This window comes from Homo sapiens, chromosome 2 (assembly GCF_000001405.40).
Source record: "Homo sapiens chromosome 2, GRCh38.p14 Primary Assembly".
Lineage (NCBI taxonomy): Eukaryota > Metazoa > Chordata > Mammalia > Primates > Hominidae > Homo > Homo sapiens.
The window spans coordinates 23,479,298-23,498,680 of NC_000002.12; the positions used below are offsets into that span (position 1 = coordinate 23,479,298).

At 50.5% G+C, this 19,383-nt stretch overlaps 1 protein-coding gene across 1 annotated transcript in view, besides 4 other annotated features; it reads left to right on the top strand.

Moving 5' to 3' along the window:
• Nucleotides 1-19,383, top strand: part of KLHL29 (kelch like family member 29) — a 323,428-nt gene that overhangs the window by 94,119 nt on the left and 209,926 nt on the right. The gene's annotated exons all lie outside the window — the stretch shown is intronic.
• Nucleotides 6,979-7,479: an enhancer, noted in NCBI's record as "H3K4me1 hESC enhancer chr2:23709146-23709646 (GRCh37/hg19 assembly coordinates)". NCBI's record gives its function as "activates a minimal SCP1, AML or CMV promoter by ChIP-STARR-seq in primed H9 embryonic stem cells {active_cell/tissue: H9 hESC(primed)}" and the evidence as "EXISTENCE:reporter gene assay evidence [ECO:0000049][PMID:30033119]".
• Nucleotides 8,392-8,893: an enhancer, noted in NCBI's record as "H3K4me1 hESC enhancer chr2:23710559-23711060 (GRCh37/hg19 assembly coordinates)". NCBI's record gives its function as "activates a minimal SCP1, AML or CMV promoter by ChIP-STARR-seq in naive H9 embryonic stem cells {active_cell/tissue: H9 hESC(naive)}" and the evidence as "EXISTENCE:reporter gene assay evidence [ECO:0000049][PMID:30033119]".
• Nucleotides 8,894-9,393: an enhancer, noted in NCBI's record as "H3K4me1 hESC enhancer chr2:23711061-23711560 (GRCh37/hg19 assembly coordinates)". NCBI's record gives its function as "activates a minimal SCP1, AML or CMV promoter by ChIP-STARR-seq in naive H9 embryonic stem cells {active_cell/tissue: H9 hESC(naive)}" and the evidence as "EXISTENCE:reporter gene assay evidence [ECO:0000049][PMID:30033119]".
• Nucleotides 17,975-18,658: an enhancer, noted in NCBI's record as "H3K27ac hESC enhancer chr2:23720142-23720825 (GRCh37/hg19 assembly coordinates)". NCBI's record gives its function as "activates a minimal SCP1, AML or CMV promoter by ChIP-STARR-seq in naive H9 embryonic stem cells {active_cell/tissue: H9 hESC(naive)}" and the evidence as "EXISTENCE:reporter gene assay evidence [ECO:0000049][PMID:30033119]".

The following is a 19,383-nucleotide window of genomic DNA, read 5'->3' on the forward strand; positions in this document are numbered from 1 at the left end:
CACAGGCATCATTTGGGATTCTGGTCCGTTCCCTGCCTGGTGCCCTGCAGCTGCTCCGCACCTTTCCATCAACAGGGCTGCAGACCCCCAGCCTGCGCTGTCCACCTCGGTGTCAGCAAGTGGCCTCTCCTCCTGCTTCCTGTCCATCTTGCTCGTGTGAGCTGCCGTCCTCCAGCTCCACCGCCTCCTCCTGCCAGGAAGGGAAGCTGTTGGTGCCGCAGGCTTTCCTTGGCTCCCTGTATCCCCAGCCCTCCCTCCACTCCCTCTGCTTCAGCTGTTCCCAGACTTGACTCCCAGATGGCACCTCTGTCCTAAGGTCCGGACCATTTCTCCAGTGGCTCATGCGTAGCAGATCCCTGCTGTCTGATTCACATATCAGACTCTACCTGTCCAAAACAAAGCTGCTTCCTTGCTCTCCAAGGAAGCCTTGTACTCGTACTGTCTCAGTCCTCCTCCCTCCCTCCCTTAGCCATGCATCTCCTTCTCCTTTGCCTTAGGCTGCTCACCTTCCTTCCTGGACCCTGAGCTCACTGAGGACAGGGATCATCCTCTTTTCTCTACAAGCCCGGCACAGGGCCCTGTTCATGCATATCTCTTGGGATTAGATTATTTTATTCAGTTCAGAGATTACAGAACCACCGACAGTGTGTCCTCATAAGCAGCGTGGTGGCAGGGAACCTGGGATTGGAGGCAAGCTCTGGATTCTAGTCCCAAATCTACCTCTAACTCTGGGAAAGCCCTATAAAACCTTCTGAGCCTCAGTCTTCTGAGCTGTAAAACGGGAATAACCACGGCCTTCCCATTTCTCAGGACCTTGAAAGGTGACAAGGGAGGAACGGTGCCACCAGGGCCAGCAGTTCTTAGCCCTTGGTGCACATTGACCGGAGTGCTTTAAGAATTACAGATGGCCCGGCCGTGGTGGCTCACGCCTGTAATCCCAGCACTTTGGGAGGCCGAGGTGGGCGGATCACTTGAGGCCAGGAGTTCAGGACCAGCCTGGCCAACATGGTGAAACCCCATCTCTACTATAAATAAAAAAATTAGCCGGGCATGGTGACACACGCCTATAGTCCCAGGTACTCGGGAGGCTGAGGCAGGAGAGTTGCTTGAAAGTGGGAGGTGGAGGTTGCAGTGAGCTGAGATCGCACCACTGCACCACTCCACCCTAGGTGACAGCGGAAGATTCTGTCTCAAAAAAAAACAAAAAAAAACTACAGATGCCTAGGTCCTTCCCCCAGATATTCTAATTGCTGTCATGAGGATATCAGTGTGTTTTAAAACTTTAACCACTACTTTCAACTCATAGGTGTTATTACCAAGTTCCTGAATTCTATGGCTTGAGGAACTGAGATGGGAGTTATAAAGAGTTTGCAAAACAATATTCCTGGATGATGTGTAATTTGTCTCATCTTTCAGTTCCTTTAAAATCTACCCCCTGGATCAAGCCATCCAAAAGCTGGGTACCTTGGCTATGTTGTACTATGTTCATCTTGCGCCACCCCACATGAACTCTACGGGCTGTTAGAATATCTGCTGCCCTCCATCCAGGTCACAACAGTGCACCCTCGTTTAGGATTCTGTGGCAGTTCATGTTTATCCTGTCACTTGTGACTCCTTTGCTAGGACCCTTGGGAGAGGTGTCTCTGATTCCACCACAGACATATTCTTCTCCCGAGCCACTGTCATAGGATCTCATGGACCCACAAATCATGTTGTAACAGATTTGCCTCTTCCATGCTCTCGAAACGGTAACTCTCAACTCTGGCTGCCTATGACATCACCCAGGGAGATTTTTTAAATTCTCATACCCAGGCTACATACCAGATCTGTGAGATCACAGTCAGTCTCTGGGAGGTGGATCCAGGCATCTGGATTTTTGTAAAGCTCCCCAGGTGGTTCTGATGGGTGTGGCCAAGGTCAGAAGCACTGCCAAGCCTGGAGGCAGATTTGTGGCCCACCTGTAGCCTGTGTATGGCATTTTCTAAATACGGTTTCATGTAGGCAACATTCCCTCCTCCGTTTCCTGCTCCTACACTTGTGATTCTCTCTCCTACTTTTGATTTATGGTGTCTTAATGTATCCTTTTAAGTCCCCTGCAATCCTTTCTGGAACTTAGCAAAGTGAAAACAAATAGAGTAGAAAGGTTCCTGCTTTTCTCTGGCTGGGATCTGGGCACAGCTCCCACCCCAGTCAGCCCTCGCTGGAAAGAGGGTAGGAGCCTCCTGTTTCCCCAGCCACAGTAGCTGGTCAGCAGCCTCGTTCTGTAACCCCACAATGGGTAATTGTAGCTAGTTCTGCCAAGAGCCCTCCAAGATCCCGTAGAAGAGGCTGGTTTGGGCTGAGAGCGGTGGCTGACGCCTGTAATCCCAGCACTTTGAGAGGCCGAGGCAGGCAGATCATCCGAGGTCAGGAGTTCGAGACCAGCCTGACTGACATGGCGAAACGCTGTCTCTACTAGAAAATACAAAAATCAGCCGGGCGTGGTGGCACATGCTTGTAATCCCAACTGTTCGGGAGGCTGAGGCAGGAGAATTGCTTGAACCCGGGAGGCAGAGGTTGCAGTGAGCTGAGATCACACCACTGCACTGCAATCTGGGTGACAGGTTAAAAAAAAAAAAGAAGAAGAGGCTGGTTTGGTTCACAGCATCTGAGTGCTGAGACTGGGCTGGGGGGAGATCAGAGATGGCTAACGATGGTCACCAAAGCGCCACCCAGTTCAGGATTGTGGAAGGCCATGCCCCCCTTTTCCATCTTCCTTGTCCGCTGCCCTCAGTCCCATGCTAAACAGCAGGCGGAGATTGTCAACAAAAGGCTGGAGATGCCCAGGGATGGACTCTTTCCCCAGTCCTGAAAGCCAGGGAGCTGAGGATAGCATGCACATGGGCAGTTTCTCTTAGTGAATGGCGGGTGAGATGGAGGGGCGCACAGCCGTCCAGTCTAGCTACAGAACCTTGTTTGGCACCTGGGCTAGAAATAGCTTCTCCACAAACCTCAGAGTTTATTTTTACGGCAAAATTTGATTTTCTAAGAGGCCTGTCTCCTTGCTTACCTCGCACCTGCTCAGGTGGCTGCGGCTGCCAGGAACAGTGGTGAGTTTGTGTCCTCCGTGAGGGCACCTGGCCAAGGAGACATGGGTGCTGACCCCCAGCCTGTGCTCTGGGAGTGTCGCTGTGCCCTTGAGAGTTCAGAGAGAGGAGTGCCTCTTTCTAACTTGCACAAAAGCATCCATCGGGGAAAGCACCATGTGTGCATCCTGCTCAGGGAAAGCACTGTGTGTGCATACATTGAGTGACCATGCTCTGAAATTGATGGACTTCTCTCCTGTAGGGATGATCTCATTTACTCATACTCAGAGGCCACTCAGAAAGACTTTTAAGCTTTTGTTTTCTAATCATAAATTTCTCCTCTCTCCCTCCAACTCCACCCCTGTCTCTCTCTCTTACAACAGGACAAATAGTGCCAGGAGTACTGGGGACTACAGGATGAATACCCAGCACATGGTGAAACAGAAGAGTGTTGCAACGCTCACTCATTCATTCATTCATTCATTCATTCATTCATTCATTCATTCATCCATCACTTACTGGTAGTCACATTGTACATTGTCCTAGGTCTGGGATCCAGAGAGGTCAGACTTTCGCCCTGCCTGCAAGGAGCTCTCAGTCCGGTGGGGCAGCCAGTACATACGAATTCTTACATGATTAACGCGATCAATTCTTATGTGGCAAATATGTGATAAATGCAGCAAAAAGAATGTATACCAAGTGCTATGGAAGAGCAACTCATTTACTTGACTTAGTGAGCATCTACTATAATGCTAGGCATTGTTGTAGGCACCGGGGGTATCACAGTGACCATATGAGATAAAAACCCCTGACCCAGAGCACACACTTGAGGGGGTGAGAATATTCAGCAACTAGCTTAGTTTGATCAAAACCATAGGCTTCAAAGAAGAGGTGAGTTAAAGCTGGAAATTGAAACCTATGCATTTATATGTGTGTGTGCAGGGAACACTAGGCAATGGGAACAGCTTGTGTAAAAGCCTGAAGATATAAAAAGACCAAAGATATCAGAGCAAAAATGCTAAGGGAAACCTAAGAATTGGGAGACACAGCCTTGAATGCCATGCTAACCCTCCCAAGGTCACTGTCTCATATAATGGGGATGTAGCTGAAAGCTCACAGGGCATTGGCCAGAGCCACCCTCACAGCTAGGTTCCATGTGGACTCCCTGACCCCAAAACAGAGACTCCTTGGCAACTCCCACTCCAACTCCAATTTGTTGGAACCTCTAAGGCTAAAGATAGACGATTTATGTTACCTCCTTCTGTGACCTAGTGCTTTTAGGTTGCAAAGTGTTTTCATAGCTTCCTCTCCTGGATCATGAGAGGGACTCTAGGAGGTAGACAAAAAGGGGTTCTTGTTGCCATTTATTGTACCAAGGAGCAAACCAAAGCCCAGAGAGGTCTAGTATCTTGCTCAAGGTCACACAGCCCATCAGGCAGAGCAGAAACTAGAGTCCTTGTGTCCTGGTTCCTAATACAACCCAGGGGCCCTTCTTGTTCCCATGTCAGCTGCCACTCCTTATTTTGAAGCCTAAAAAGCTCTCAGCAAGTATCAATCACATGCCTGCCTGCCTCCCACGACCATTAGTGCAGCACATACGACGTGTCAAGCCAGGCATTGACCATCTGCTGGGCTGCAATGTGGTCCCAACCCCCACTCAGGAAGAGAACTGAAGGAGTCACGTATGGGCTGCCCTTCTTCCCACCCACCATGACCCAAGAGGCCTAAAGACCATGAGTCAACCAGACCCAGGCTGTCACCCTCCTGAGCCAAGTGGAACAGGTCACAGAATGACCATCGCAGGCTGGAGACCCCTCCACTTGCTCCTAGACCACCTGGAGGCCATTCATGACAGCCGCCAATACCTATTTTCACCCTTTCTTGTAATCAGGCTGGTTGTGAAGAGAATGGGGAGATTTCAGCCTCACACACAGAGCCCGAGCTCACCTGTGGAAGACAGACGTAGCCTAGCAGTCCTCACGGGCCACCCTTGATGTGTTGCAACTCATTTAGATAAAAGTGTCTGGCTCGTAAGGTAGCAGCAACAGCAAAAATCATTAGAAGCACATTTCTGCTTTTACAAAGTAACCTAGTAACAGCACAGGAGGCAACAATTAACCCGGCACTCCGTTCTCTAGGTACACAGGCAGGTGCTGAAAGTGGAAAACGGAAGTCAGAACACAGAGACATTCTGTCCAGGCCCTTCTGGGATCAGCACTCTGGGATGTGGGATGGCCCCGCCAGCCAGAGAGCCACACCCCTGCCATTAGCACAGAGAGGAGGTGTCCTCCCTCTCCATCTCAGAACAGTGTGATTATTTATTTAGCACCAGTTCAAGGCTTTCTGAAATGCATTCGCGGTGCTCTGCCATCTTGCGCAGGTCCTCCCTGAACTACCACTGCTGCCTCTGTGGATCAGATAAAGGAAATCTGGCCTGCACCAGTCTCTGCTGGGCTCTTGCTCCCATCTCTGCAGACTCCTGTTCTCCCTGACCTACCTGAGTGTTCATATCCCACCTTGGGGCACTTGGTCCCGCTGAGCAAGTCTTCCAGAAGCGCCTCTCCCATCCCTACCTATCTCCTGGCAAAGAGCTCCAGGGCCGCCCCCGAGGGAATTCTCTCTCCTCTGATGCCATTATGCCATTTCTCTCCCTGGCACCCTTGTAGTACTTGCTGCTTCCTGGTTCCGGTGTGGTCCTGTCACTGTCCAGTATGCCCAAGGCTCATTCCCACCCCCAGTACTGAGGGCAGCCTGCAGAGCCAAACACCCTACACAGGCTGAAAAGGAATTGATGAATGGAAAAAGTCAGTTCCCACGGCCTCTGGCTGTGCTCCTGGCCCCTCAGCCCCACGTCCTCAGATCCCAGAACTCTCTCAGGAGACTACCGGGAGTCTTTGGTGGCAGGGACTGTCTCAGTCAGTGTGTCTCAGTCACAAAGCCTGGCACAAAGAAGGCTCTCAAATGTTTCTGAGATAAATGAATGATCTAAAGTGGCTCCTTTAACCTGTCTAAATTGTGTGTGAAAGGAGCCAGCCACACCCATCAAGGCAGCTAACAGCTGCCCATGTTAGGGCAGAGGGTGACGCACTGACCCTGCTCTCCCAAGGCCACCACCCCTGGGGACATGGTGCACCCAGCCAGAGCCCTCCTTCCCACTGTTCCAAGCATAGTCCATGGCCCAGGAGGAAGCTAGGCCTCCCAGATCTTGCTAGAACCCAGGCTCTCAGTATGCTCAACATTGCATTCAAGCCATGTTTAGAAAGGTATGTTCCATATTCAGAGGGTCCTCACGGCCTTTGTTCATTCATTCAGGCAACAGCAAGCAGCAGAAAGTAAATGGTCACAAGCACAGCTGCTAGACTGCTTTGGTCCTAACCCCAGCCCTGCCCCTTTCCAGCTGTGCAACCTCTGGGCACAGTCCTTAACCTCCCTGTGCCTCAGTTTCTTCATGTGCAAAATAGAGATTTTCATAAAATTTTCTGGTGGTTGTAAGGACTAAATGAGTTAACATAATAAAGTGCCTAGAATAGTGCGTAAGACATGTACAAGGCTTTGCTCTTATTATTCTAAAAGACTAGGACCTGGCTGAGTCATGGACTTAATTCATACCTTCTTTGAGCCCAAATGCATCTTCAAGGAAGGTGTCGGCATGCCCACCTCCCACCCTCACCTGTCAGTCATCCTGCAGCCTTCGCTTGCTGAATGCATCCAGTCGTAGGGGATGTCTGTCTGTTCCCAGAGAGGTGGCCCTCCTTGGCCCACCAGATCCCAGACAGCCACTGGGCTGCATCCTATTCCAGTTCTCCATAGGCCACAGCAGAGGGTCCTGGGGCCCCTCCCACTTACTTCTGGTAGGGAATCTGCAAGCACCTATCACAGCCCCATTTCATTTAGCCCCTCACCCCATGAAAAGGGTCTGAACTCCTGATCAGCACACAGTGTCCAGCAGCCCAAACCTGGACAGTGATGAATGGGCCATCCGAGATGCTGGGGCTTATCCCTCCCACGATTGCCACTGACAGGCTTTGAGACCCAGAAGCATGTCCGTGCCCCTCTTTGGATCTTGTTGTTTTTATCTGCATCATGAGGGGACTGGATTTATGATCGATCCCCAAGGACCAGTCAGGCTCTGTCCCTAGAAGTGACGCTCTGGATGGGGCCATGTGGGGGCTTCTGGGACTCCACCACAATTAGCACTGTGGCCTCAGAAGTTATGTCAGCATGTCCTTGGGGCATCTGTCATTAACAATTATGAAGTCATTTTCTGGTAAATAATTCATAACCCGAGAGATGGGATAAGCTGCCAATAAACAATAATCCATTTAGAATGAGGCTTGATGAGGGCGAGCACAGCTGCGGAATTGCAGCCACCTCCTGGAGGGCAGCTCCCTGCTCACCTCTGGTGTCAACAGGGCCCATCCTTAGGGCCCTGCTCAGGCCACACCTCCTCCCTGAAGCCCTCCTTCACCACTCCTGACCAAAGGCATCACCCCTCCCCTGAGCTCAGGCATGACTGAGTCTGTGAACCCAGTGAGGGCTGGCCAAGTGCCCAAGGCTGTGCTAAGCAACTTGCATGCACTTTCTCGTGGAATCCTCCCAGTGGCCTTAGGGCTGTAGCTACTGTTGTTATCTCCTGTACCGAGAAGTAAACTGAGGTTTAGAGACTAAATAACTTATCCAAGGTCGCTGAACTAGAAAGCCCAGGTCTGGAGTTCACATCTGTATGATGTGAGAGCTCTCACTCTTAGCCAGGGTGTCCCACTCCCTCGTGCGAGCAGCTGTACCTCTTGTCATTTGTCCAGGCTTTATTTGTGTGTGACCTTTGTCTCTCCAGCAAGACTATGAGCCCTAGATGGGTCCCAGGAGGTACTTCCTAGAGGCCATAGAGCAGAGCGTCTCCTTGCTGGCTGGCTACTTAATGTTGTAGTGAGGCTTCTAGTGGTGTTTGGAGGCCAAACCAAGGACGCTGGAGAGAGGGGCAGGAGGGGACGTCTTCTGCACATGCTACCTGAATTTCCATCTTCTAATAGGCCTATTGCATTTTTCCTGCCCAAGGGACACTTTGCAGCCTCTGGCTATACCCCCTGGAAGTACTCCGTCCTGGGGAAGAAGTTCTTTGCTCAGATTCTGGGAACCCTGGCTGCATGGGTTGGTCATTAGGACTGGGTTAGCTCTGCCAAGAGCTCCTCCTCTCCTGCCATGCCATCACCTGCCATCAAGGCCAGCAGCCCACCCTGTATCATCTGCAGGACTTGCCCCCAGTGCCCAAGGCTAGAAGGGGTCCTCAGGGGTGTCCCACTCCCCCTGCTAAAAGGCTGCATTCTTTTTTCTCCTGGGTAGGGGCACTGCAGACATTGTTGGCCCCTGTATTATAACCAGCCTTTCAAGGCCCATAGTCATGAAGGTCCCTGTTTTTTCTTCTCAGGGAAAAACAGAACTGCCCTGAGTTGCAAGTGTCAAGGAACAGGGTGGAGTTTCTAGATGTTGAACCTGTAATTGTCACACATCTGGAATGTTGCACAAACCTCTGCAGCTGGGCCGTGTGGTGGGAGAAGCCACAGTGGCTCGGTGCATGCTCATTCCTCAATAACCACAGTAACCAGCCCGAGGGGAGGCCCCTTCTAGCCTTTTAACCTCCTACGGCCAGTGATGTGGTCAGGACTGGCAGATGCGTGGCAAGACAATGGGTCACTTGCTGCTTTCTAGAACAGCTTCAAACAGCTGGAATCTTCCCATCTCCTTTGAACAGAATTGCCTCACGGGAGGCACTGGCCCCGTCTTATTTGTCAGGTGGGCTTCGCAATAACACACCTCCTGCCCCTGGCCTGAGCTCCTTGCTTTCAGGATTGGGGAAAGATTCCACCCCTGGGCGCCCCTGGCCTTTTGCTGACAATCTCCACCTGCTATTCAGCATGGGGCTGAGGAGTAGACATGGAAGGCAGAGAGGGGGGCCCAGCTACTGCCAGCCTGGACTGGATGATGCTCTGGCAGCCGTCTCTGGGCATCCCCCGTCTCCCGCTCAGTCTCGTCTCAGCACTCAGATGCTGGGAACCAGACCAGCCTCTACTATGGGGCCTTGGAGGGCTCTTGGCAGAACTGGCTACAATTCCCCATTGCGGGATTACAGAATGAGACCGTGACCCAGCTCCTGTGTCTGGGGAAGGAGAGGCCTGATGGGTGGGAGCTGTGCCCAGATCCGAGCCAGAGAAAAGCAGAAAGGTTTTCTATTTTCTCTATTCTACTTGTTTTCACCTCATTGAGTTCCAGGAAGAATTGCAGGAGACTTAAAAGGACACATTAAGACATCATGAATCAAAAGGAGGAGACAGAATCACAAGTGTAGGAGCAGGGAGTGTCGCCTACACAAAACCACATCTAGAAAGTCCCACAGATGGGCCACAAGTGGGCCACACATTTTCCTCCAGGCTTGGCAGTGCCTCTGACCTTGGCTGTTCATTGGAATTGCCTGGGCATTCTGGTGACTAATGCAAAGCCATCTACCTCTTGCTTACCCCCAAAGAAGAAGGGACCACATCCTAAATCTGTATTAAGGGTCTTGCTTTTATTCTCGGACTTGGCCGGTCCCAGGGAGGTTGGGATGCTCTCGCTTCTGGGGTGGCTACTACAGCCCATCAGGACAGGACTTTGCATGCCCTGGTTGTGGACAGATTGACAGAAAATAAAAGTATTGTTTAGGGAAGGGAGGGGTAGTTTCCAACCCCAGCAATAAAGGAATGAGAGAAACTGGTGTTTATCACAAAGCAGAGAACATGGCGTTTCCGTGGGCTCTAACAATGTGACATCCTCAAGGAAGGATGGGTCTGTGACTGTGGGTCCACTTGGAAGGTGCCCTCCTGTTCCCCAGCGGGGTGCTGAGTGATGTGCTGGGAGGAAGGGCCTACCCGCGAGCCTGGTTGGTCCTTCTACAGAAAGCCCTGGGGATGGATTGTCTCTGACACTAAAGCCTCTTCCCAAAGGTCTCCAGGGAAAGAAATTCCATCAGCTTCCAGAGTCCCTATTCCGGTGGCTCCTGCAGGCTTTTCTTCTATCTGACCTGAATCTCCCTTGCTGCAATTTAAGCCCATTTTCCCTTGTTTTGTTTTGAGTGGAAATGGAGAAGAGCTTGTCCCCAGCTGCCTCCGAAAGCAGGGTGAGTCAGAAGTCCTTGCGTACCTCCTGCCACGCTGAAGTCATTCTCAGAAACCTGCGCTATTGAATCTGTCCTCATGAAAGCCTCCCAAGAGAACCAGCTTCGCATTAATGCATGAAACAAGGCTCCACTCTGGGATGGGGGCATGGTGGTGGCAAGGCCCTTCCTGCAGGGACGGCACTAGATGGCCCCGAGTGAATGTGCCTGGCCCCTGCAACAGCTGGGGAGAGGGGCATGTGAACGGATCAGCACCTCACAGTGAAACTTGCATGCGTGGAGTCTGGTCAGGGAGCTGGGTGGGGTGGGCGGTACCCACACCAAGGAGGAGGTGCCCACATCAGGTCCTAAGGGAGAGGAGGAGGTGGCTGGGGAAAGAGGAAGTCCTCTCAGGCGGGTACCAGGAGACTCCTTGTCCACTCTAGGTTCCACATTTGCGTTTGAAAAAACAGTCTTCTTATCTATACTCCCCTTGCTCTAGTGTTGGCAATGGATTGTTTCCCCGCCTGCCTCAGCTGATGTTGAATGGAAAGATCATTCACTTATTTCATGAGTGCGCACTGGGGGAGCCTCCGTGGGCGAGGATGCGCGTGCAGGCGCATACATTCTCTGGAGGATTCTTTTGGCCTCTTGATCTCCCAGACCACTAGGTTTCTGTCTTGTTTTTGTGCCTTTTTACTTCTGGGAACAAAAAACCCCCACTTGTTTCTGCTAAAGATAAGCTATTTTGTAGGCCATTGAAGCCAATTCCTGGAAGAGTTGGGTTGGTGGTTAAAAAAAAAAAATCTGATTGGAAAGCAGTAGATCACAGCAGCTAAGTGACTGAGTTTAAAAAGCAATGATGCTGAGTGGTCCTGACAACACTCGGACAGCACACAGTGAATACAAGAGAAGAATTTTTATATTTCCTAGGCTAGTGGAATTAAAACCTTCCTACTCTGCAGGATAAATGGAGAGAAACAGAATCTCTTTTTCCTAAGCAGTTATCTAAGTGTGATACTTAGATGTGAGCAAGGTAATTAGGCTTTGTTTTTTTCCGCTGCTTGGTCAAAAGCCCCCTTCTCAAACTACTTGGCTCCAATACCATGGGGGAAAAAACCCACCTACATTGATTGGATTTAAATAATGGAATTGCCATTAATATCTTTCATAAAAGATGATTGATTTCTGACTTTGGATTTATGGAAAGTTGGGGCTTGTAAAAGTGTTCAGAGTGGCAGTCATTCAGTATTAATGCTGGTTCATACCCTTCCCTCCTCAGGGCTGGTTACATGGATGGCTCCCAACCTAAACCCCCCCATGCCAGCTGCTAGGTCACAGGGATCTCTGGAGGGTGTAACGGGCAGCCCTGGGCCCATCCAGTTGCCAGCTGTGGTGGTCCAGGAGGCTGGGCTGAACCCTAGCCCTCTTTCCTTCTTTACATCAGATTTTTTTTTACCTAATATGATTTTTTTTTATTTTACTTTAAGTTCTGGGATGCATGTGCAGAACATGCAGGTTTGTTACACAGGTATACATGTGCCATGGTGGTTTGCTGCACCTATCAACCCATCATCTAGGTTTTAAGCCCTGCATGCGTTAGGTATATGTCCTAATGCTCTCCCTCCCCTTTCCCCCAACTCTATATCAGATTCTAGTATGAAACTCAGTGCTCCAGCCCCTAGGGACACCAGCAGCTTCCACCTGTGCTCTGTGGAAGCTCACTGCCCCTCATAGGATGGAGGACCACTGATGACCCAGAGAGGCCCTCTGCAGGTGGGTGGGTATGTGAATGACACAGCCTCTGAGCTCTGCTCTCCTACCCTGGGAGCTCAGATGGACTGGCCTTTAGTACAGGGACCTGCGCGAATGTGGTCTGGTGGTTCAGTATGAGTTCCTGTAGTGATGGCTTTCTCCTGCTTGGGAAAAGGCAGAGGGAAGGCCTAGGCACACCAGCAAACCAGTAGCAGGGCCCTGTGTGGCTTCAGATGCCTGGGGGGCTGAGGGGTATGAATCAGGTCTCAGGGCTTATAGCTCCCATGCATGCAAGCCTTCCCCCGCTGGGCCAGCAGCTCTGCTCTGCTCCTGCTCCTCTTGCCCTCAGGTAGCTGCCCCTTTCATCCCTGTCCCAGCAGTGGGAATCCCATATCACTGTCTTCCAGCCCTCCGGGTGCTACTGATCTCCTGTTCTCAGCTCTGTGCTGGAGCCTCCCAGATCCATCCCTAGGGATTGGTCCTGTTGACATGGCTGTCCACTGCCCCTCCCTCCAGATGCCGCTCAGGTGCCGTGCGACCTCGCTGAACTCCATGTTCCCTCAAGCTACCTCCTCCTCCCATGTCCCCCACCTCTGGAAATGGCAACACCATCTGCCCAGTCCCCTAGTTAGAAACCTGAGAGTGCATCTCGCCTCCACGTACTACAGGCTGTCAGCTCTGCCTCCTAACCATCCCTCCCACTCGTCCTTCCCCTCCATCCCCACTGCTCTTGACTTCCTTCAGCAGACCCTCACCAACTGGCACCTGAGCAACCACCATGGGCTCCCTGCCTCCACCTTTTTCCCTCCAGTTCCTCTGGTACACTGGCCCCAGCGGGAGCTCTAGGATGCAGATCACACGTCCAGCCTCCCCAGACCCTGGAGGCCAAGTTCCAGACACCTGTGCTGAAAGCATACCACCCACGATCACACTCTGAGACCTCGTGCCACTGTGCCTCTTCCACATGGTCTCCTCCACCTGGGATGCTATTCCCATGGGCCTCTCTGGACTGGCCCCCTTGACCTCCTCCCAAGGCTGAATCAACCATTCCTCCTTGCACACTGTTCATGCCTCTAGTGCAGAAGGGGAAATTAACCTGTGAGGGCCTGATCTGTTAGACCGGTTTGGGGCTGCTGGTCTTCTTCACCCCCGCTTCTGAAAACCCCTGCACCCACCCCCAGCCCTTGCTGTTTGATAGCAGTCACGTGGCCCACCCTCCAGCCTCAGCTTATTGGACGAGGGGCAGATACCTGGCTTCAGGCTACTCTTCCATTGGCTGGCAGCAACACAGGCCTGGTGGGCCGTGACTTTAAGAAATTAGCTGGAGCATCAGATTAAATCTCCTTTGCAATGGGAAGTAAGGGAATTAAGAACCAGAGAGTTCCATCTGGGGCTGGGTCCTTTAGCCTGATGCTTATATGAATATAAGAAAAGCATGATTTTTCTGAGGCTCTGTGCAAAACAGAGTTGAGTCTCAAAGGCTGGTTGGGAAGGAAGGAAAAAGAGAGGTGATATCCTTAGAGAAGGGGTTTGCAGAGCAAGACAGACAGAGCTAGTCCTGGCTGGTCCCGAACCTCCTCTTTTTTTTGCCCATCGGCTGGGTTCCTTGAAGGCCCTCCTTACCGTAGCCTCACGATACTACGATGCAGCCCACAGGAAAGGCACGGGTGTCTGAGCCCAAAAGCCAGAACTCAAGTCCTGCCTCTCTCCGTTGCAGCTGTATAACCTTGGGCAAATTACTTTCATCTCTCCCTCATCTGCAACAGTGGAAATATTCCAGGATCTAATGGGCAGTTGGACGAGATGATGTTCAAGCTCCGTTCCTGCTCTAACATCTCACAGCCCTGTCGTCTTTGCCCTGCCTCCCGCACAGGAATGACGTAAGGTAGAGCACTTCACAAGCCTGGCCAGCTCAGTGTTTGCCCCAACCTGTTCTTGCAAATAGCATTGCCCTTTCCTGTTAGCACAGCTCCCAGGGGGCCTCTGGGAGCTTTTGCTTCTCTGCTTGCTGTTTAAGAGGGATTTATGCCGTGGCCAGGCAGGCCAGGATGTTCATGCACCCCCAATAGCAGCTTTATCTAATGAGGATGAGATGCTTACACATATTTTCATTTTTTAAAAAATCGGCTATTAATTTGTCAGAATTATTCATATTTTACTGATGATATTTTCCATGTATCTAATCAGGGAGCTCATGAATAGAAATGAAACTATTTAAATACAGAGATGGTGTACATTGTACGATCTTGTTTTCTCAAGCTGTTTCATAAAGCAGTGAATACATTTATTTCTTCTAAAAACAGGTTTTGCAATCATCAAAAACTTTTTTAAATCTTTGATTAAATATGACTCTATTCGAATATGCTAAATCTCTGGGAGCGGGGTGGGCGTGTGTGTGTGAGTGTGTGTGTGTGCGCGCATGTGTGTGCATGTGTATGTGTGTGTGCATGTTTATGCGTGTGTGTCTGTGTCTGTGTGTCCGTGTGGTCACTTGAACAAGTACATTGTTTTCCGGCCTTCTCCATAGGGACAGGAGACTTTTTCTTTTAGTGAGAAAAATGGAAAACACATTCTGGGTCAAATATTTAGGATGGATAGATGGCAAAGTAAAAGCACAAATTGAAATCGAGCTGAGTAATATTGGAGATAATTATTTGTACAGTGTAGACTTTTAAACTGCTCAAAATTCCAGCAGCACTTACCTACACTGAAAGAGGTTTAGAATCATTAAACAAAGCCAGATATTAAATATACTACTGCTATCTCTCGAAACATTAGCAAGTAATGTAAAACACATGGCATCTACTCAATGGAAAATCTGAGAATACAAATTATAATAGTTGTCGTATAAGACCTCTGGGAAGCTTGAACTAAATTGCTTAATTCCATTAATAACAAACTATTACTCTAGCTATTAAAGTAACATAAGGTAATAGAGATCATGTCGAGAGATTGTACTGAGGCTCTTTCTTCACCTAGCACAAATTTATTCAGGGGCATTGATAGATTTTAATTGACTATGGCAACTGAATAGCAACAAAGGAAATTGAATGTCTTTTGAAAAGCTCCACGTTTTGTAGAAGCAAATAGCAACACCAAAATGAAGGTCTGGGAAGCTGGGTCAGGCAGGGAAGGGTGCTGGGAACATTTCCACCAGCAGCTCCTCCACGGAGATGCTTTCCTGTGACCTTAAGGAAACGCTTCCTGGGAACAGGCACGCCACAGGCCTGAGCATCTTTTTCAGCTGCATGCAGTCCAAGTGGAAAGGCAACCAATCCAGGCTGCTCTAAAAGCACGTGCTTTGTCGTGAATATCCATCAGGCACGTTTCCAAGATATAGGACTGCAGGGACCTTCATGCAAACTGCCGAAGCCTCTCTGGAGAGTTCTGAGAACAGGATTTGTTTTGGCCCAAAGGCTTGGCAATGGCATGAGTGACCCCAAACCCCCAATCATGATTCTGGGGCTGAGGATCATGAAAGACCCCCTCGGCTTCCATCTGGTCCAGGATGGATTCTGGTGACCGTCACCTAGTTTTCTCTCCCACTTCTTGGTCCTCTCCCTGCTTTCCGGGCTCCTTCTGTCTTCTTTCCACACACCCAGTTGCCATCAGCGTATCTGTCGTGCAGCTCACACTGGCCTTGCACTATTGCAGTATCCTGGTCTTGATGAAGCGACAGTGCTCCTTTCGTCGCCGTAAGCCAATCTCTCCTTCCCACTCACCCAGCCCCAAGCACCTGGGCCTTCAGTGCTGCCTCAGTGCCTCTGTTGGAAGGAAATCTCTTTTATTTTATTTATTTCTGTGAGTATTTTATTTATTTTTTGGAGACGGAGTCTTGAACTCCTGGCCTCAAGCAATTTTCTCGAACTCCTGGCCTCAAGCAATTTTCACATCTCAGTCTCCCAGAGTGCTGGGATCACAGGCGTGCATCACTGTACCTGGCTGGAAACCCCATTTTTAAGGGAAATGGTAAAAGATGTGAGGGCCTGCAGGAGGTGGTCCCTGTAGTGACGTTCTAGGAGGTGCCTCTGTGGGCTGTCAGGCAGGTGGCAGGGAAGTCAATGGAGCCCCCCAATCCTGGTGCCCATGCCATGCTTTTTGGTGAGGTGGGTCCAGGTCATTGCCCCTACCTGGCTCTGGGACACATGATAATTTTGCAGCAGAGGTGTTGAGGTTGTGTCTTCTGATGTTTGGCTGGACATTCCCATTTGTTTTCATGAATGTCTGAAATGTCATCTCACTTAAACCAGTACAATACTCTTTATCTTCTGCCCTGGGTGGCAGTGGGTATAACAGTCAACCCTGCCATGTCCCCTGGGACTCGGGACATTCTCCCAGCCCCCATTGGTCCCAGCTTCTCTCCAGGACATCACAGAGGAGCTTTGGGGTCAAGCCTGCACCGTACCCACCTCCACTGTACCCACAGCTCCAGCGAGAGTGACGGCCCCTCCTGGCATCGTGTCAGGGCCAGGGCTCCGGGGGTTGACACCCCAGAACAGGCTCCGGCTCATGGCTGTGGACGCCTACCTTGTTGGCACTGGGAGAGTCTAATCCCGCCACGACTGTAGCACGCGCATGTGTTTGAAAACCTCCTTGGCAGGCAGGACCTCCTAATTTTTTCCACTTCTTGTGATTAGCGTTGCAGACTAATCCTAGCACCAGACTCAACACCAGCTGTTCTTCCCCCACTGCTTGTTTTTACTTACGAACCAAATCCTGGAGTTGCTGCCGAATTGGCCAGCGCCGCTCTGCTCCTCCCTCAGCCCGAGCTGCAGCCAGTCACCTATGGCATGACCTCAGATGAACTGTCTTTTCAACATGGCCACCCGTGTGTCCTTCACAGTGCCCGGACGGCACTGCTCAGTCTCAGGGGGCACGAGAGGGGCTCACTGGGTTCCAAAGAGGACTCCGGCTTACCCGCTGCAGCAGTGGGATATCAGCTGTTCCTGGAGCCAAACTGATCTTAGAAATTTGGTTTTGCATCCTTAGACACGAGACAGCCCTGGATACCACTTATAATTTTTTATGTAATATGGTATTTTCAGAATAAGATATGTAACATTTAGATAAGTTGTATGACAACAATGAAATGAACACACATGATCCATCCCACCTCTGAACTTAAGAGCTGAAACATCACCAGACTATTGAAACTGCCTGTTTTCCTGCTCCATTCATTCCAGGTCCTCTTAAATTTGGAAAGGGGTATGCAGAAAGAGCACAGCCCTGGTACCTCCTCCCTCTCCCCCATCCTGCTCCCACCGGAAAGATATGTTTTCCCCCAAAAAGGGTACCCCGCCAGTGTGCAGCAGCAGCACCCCCTCTAACCTTCAGCGGGGCCAGCGGTGGAGGGAGGGGAGGCAGTGCAGCCTGGGCAGGAAGCAAGGCCTCAGTGGCCTCCAGATTTGCAAGAGGGGCCAGAGCTGCCCTAGGGGGCCCAGGGACCACCGCTGTCTCTGCTTTGGAAATTTCTCTGGCATGCTTCCTCTTCCCCTGACTTCTGTGGCAATGCTTGGGGGAAAGTTATTTACTGAATGCAGACCCAGGGACTCAGACTTCTGCATCCATACATACCATCCATTTGCATTTCTGTGAGAGTCTCTCACATACCTGGAAGGCCCTAAAAACAAATCAGGGAGTGTGGCATATGGGACATTTGCCCTCCAAACACTGCAGCGTCAAGAAGAATTGCAATTGTCAGAAATATCATATTCCTGTCAAAAGCGCATGAAATCAATTCTGTAAATTGAGAAACATAAGTCACAGTTATATTTGTTCTGCAACCATATAAGAATCACGAGTTTCTCCTAGGGTAGGAAAAAAAAAAAAAACTATGAGCCCTTTAGAATGACTTAATGTCCAATCATAGCCACCTTTACCAGGCAGTGCTGTTTCTGTTGGCATGAGATTTCTGACTGCCTTCAGTCGGTGGGTATTTCCGCTGGGTTGGTTGCTTTCTTGGCAACTGCGATTACTTGAAAACGGGATGAAAGTAAGTGACTCCTTTTTTGTTTTCCTCCTTGGCAATCTCTCTGTGGTTTTGTGGCTGCCCATGTGGTTCTCTTTCCTTCCTCTGTCCCTCCATGACTAGAGCACCACAGCAGGGAGCCGAGGGTTTCCTGGGGTTGGGCAGTCACTCAGCCCCTCCCTCTAGCAGTGCACGTGCTCTGGAGTTCCACATACCTGGACCCTGTTACCCCGTTTTAGTTGCACAGGACTGCTGGGGGAGACGGTGCAATAATCATTTGGTCAAGATGAGCCAAGCCTCCTTTGGGCCGAGCACGGAGATCACAGAAATGGACTCCAACTCACCTCCACCCAGAGAGGCAGGGCCAAGCCTAAAAGTTTTGTAGGGATTTAGGGAAGGGAGGGAGCAAAGGGCTGGGAGAGCCAGGGAAGGTTCATTAGCCCAGGAGCATCTTTCCCTGCCTCCTAAAGGAATATAGCCTTAAGCTCTTTGGAGGAGAGGGGAATATTCCAGCTGGGCCAAGAGAGAGGGTGGCCTGAGGCTGGTGCGTGCATGTGACCTGAGGGGCACTGAGCTGTGAGCTGGAGGTGTCGAGTGGGCCTCAGCACTGAAGTCAGGGGAAACCAACCGTATGGATGCCGTTCTGAAAGACAGCCTGTATTACAGGAGCACCGGGTAGAAAGTATTCAAGGAGACAGAGATCTGTCTGGAACTACGGGAAGGGCTGACTCAAGATTTCTGGCCAGAATCCTAGGATTTTTCTTTTTTAATTTAAGGTGTGCAGCACAATGTTTTGATAAACTTATAGATAGTGAAATGGTTATTATAGTTAAGTGACTTAACATATCCATCATCTCACCTAGTTACCCTTTTCTGTGTGTGAAAAAAGCACCAAAATCTACTCTTAGCAAACTTCCAGCATACAATATAATATTATCCTATACACTGACAGTGAACACCATCCTATTCATATATTGGGCAGGGTAGGTTTGTTTGTTTTGGATGTAGAACTCATCACCAGGAAAGCAGGCAAGAATTCCCCGAAAATCAAGAAGTCTGAGATATGAGCAGCAGTAAATCTGTTTTCTCTGAAGTGCCAGTGTAGACTCCATTCTGCTGTCTCTACCTTGGCCTCCATACCGAGTGGGCTGGAGGCTGCGGCACCAGTGAGGTGCCCTGACATCCAGCTGGCTGTGACAAATCAGAACAAACACCCGATCAGGCAGGAGACTACTACCTGGGGGCCTCGCCCTGCCCTCCCTGCCAAGCAGGGAGCTCCAGGCCTTTGGGGCCAAAGGAAGCCCCTCTGCTGAGGCTCAGGAAGGTTTTCGGGGTTGGGGAGCAGACTGGAAGAACTTAGTCCTGCCCTGACCAACACCCAGCTTTCTCAGCGCCTTCGTTAGGACATTTAGGAAGGTCGGGGCTTCCTTCCACACTGAGAATTCTGCAGTAATGCAGATGTCCTATAC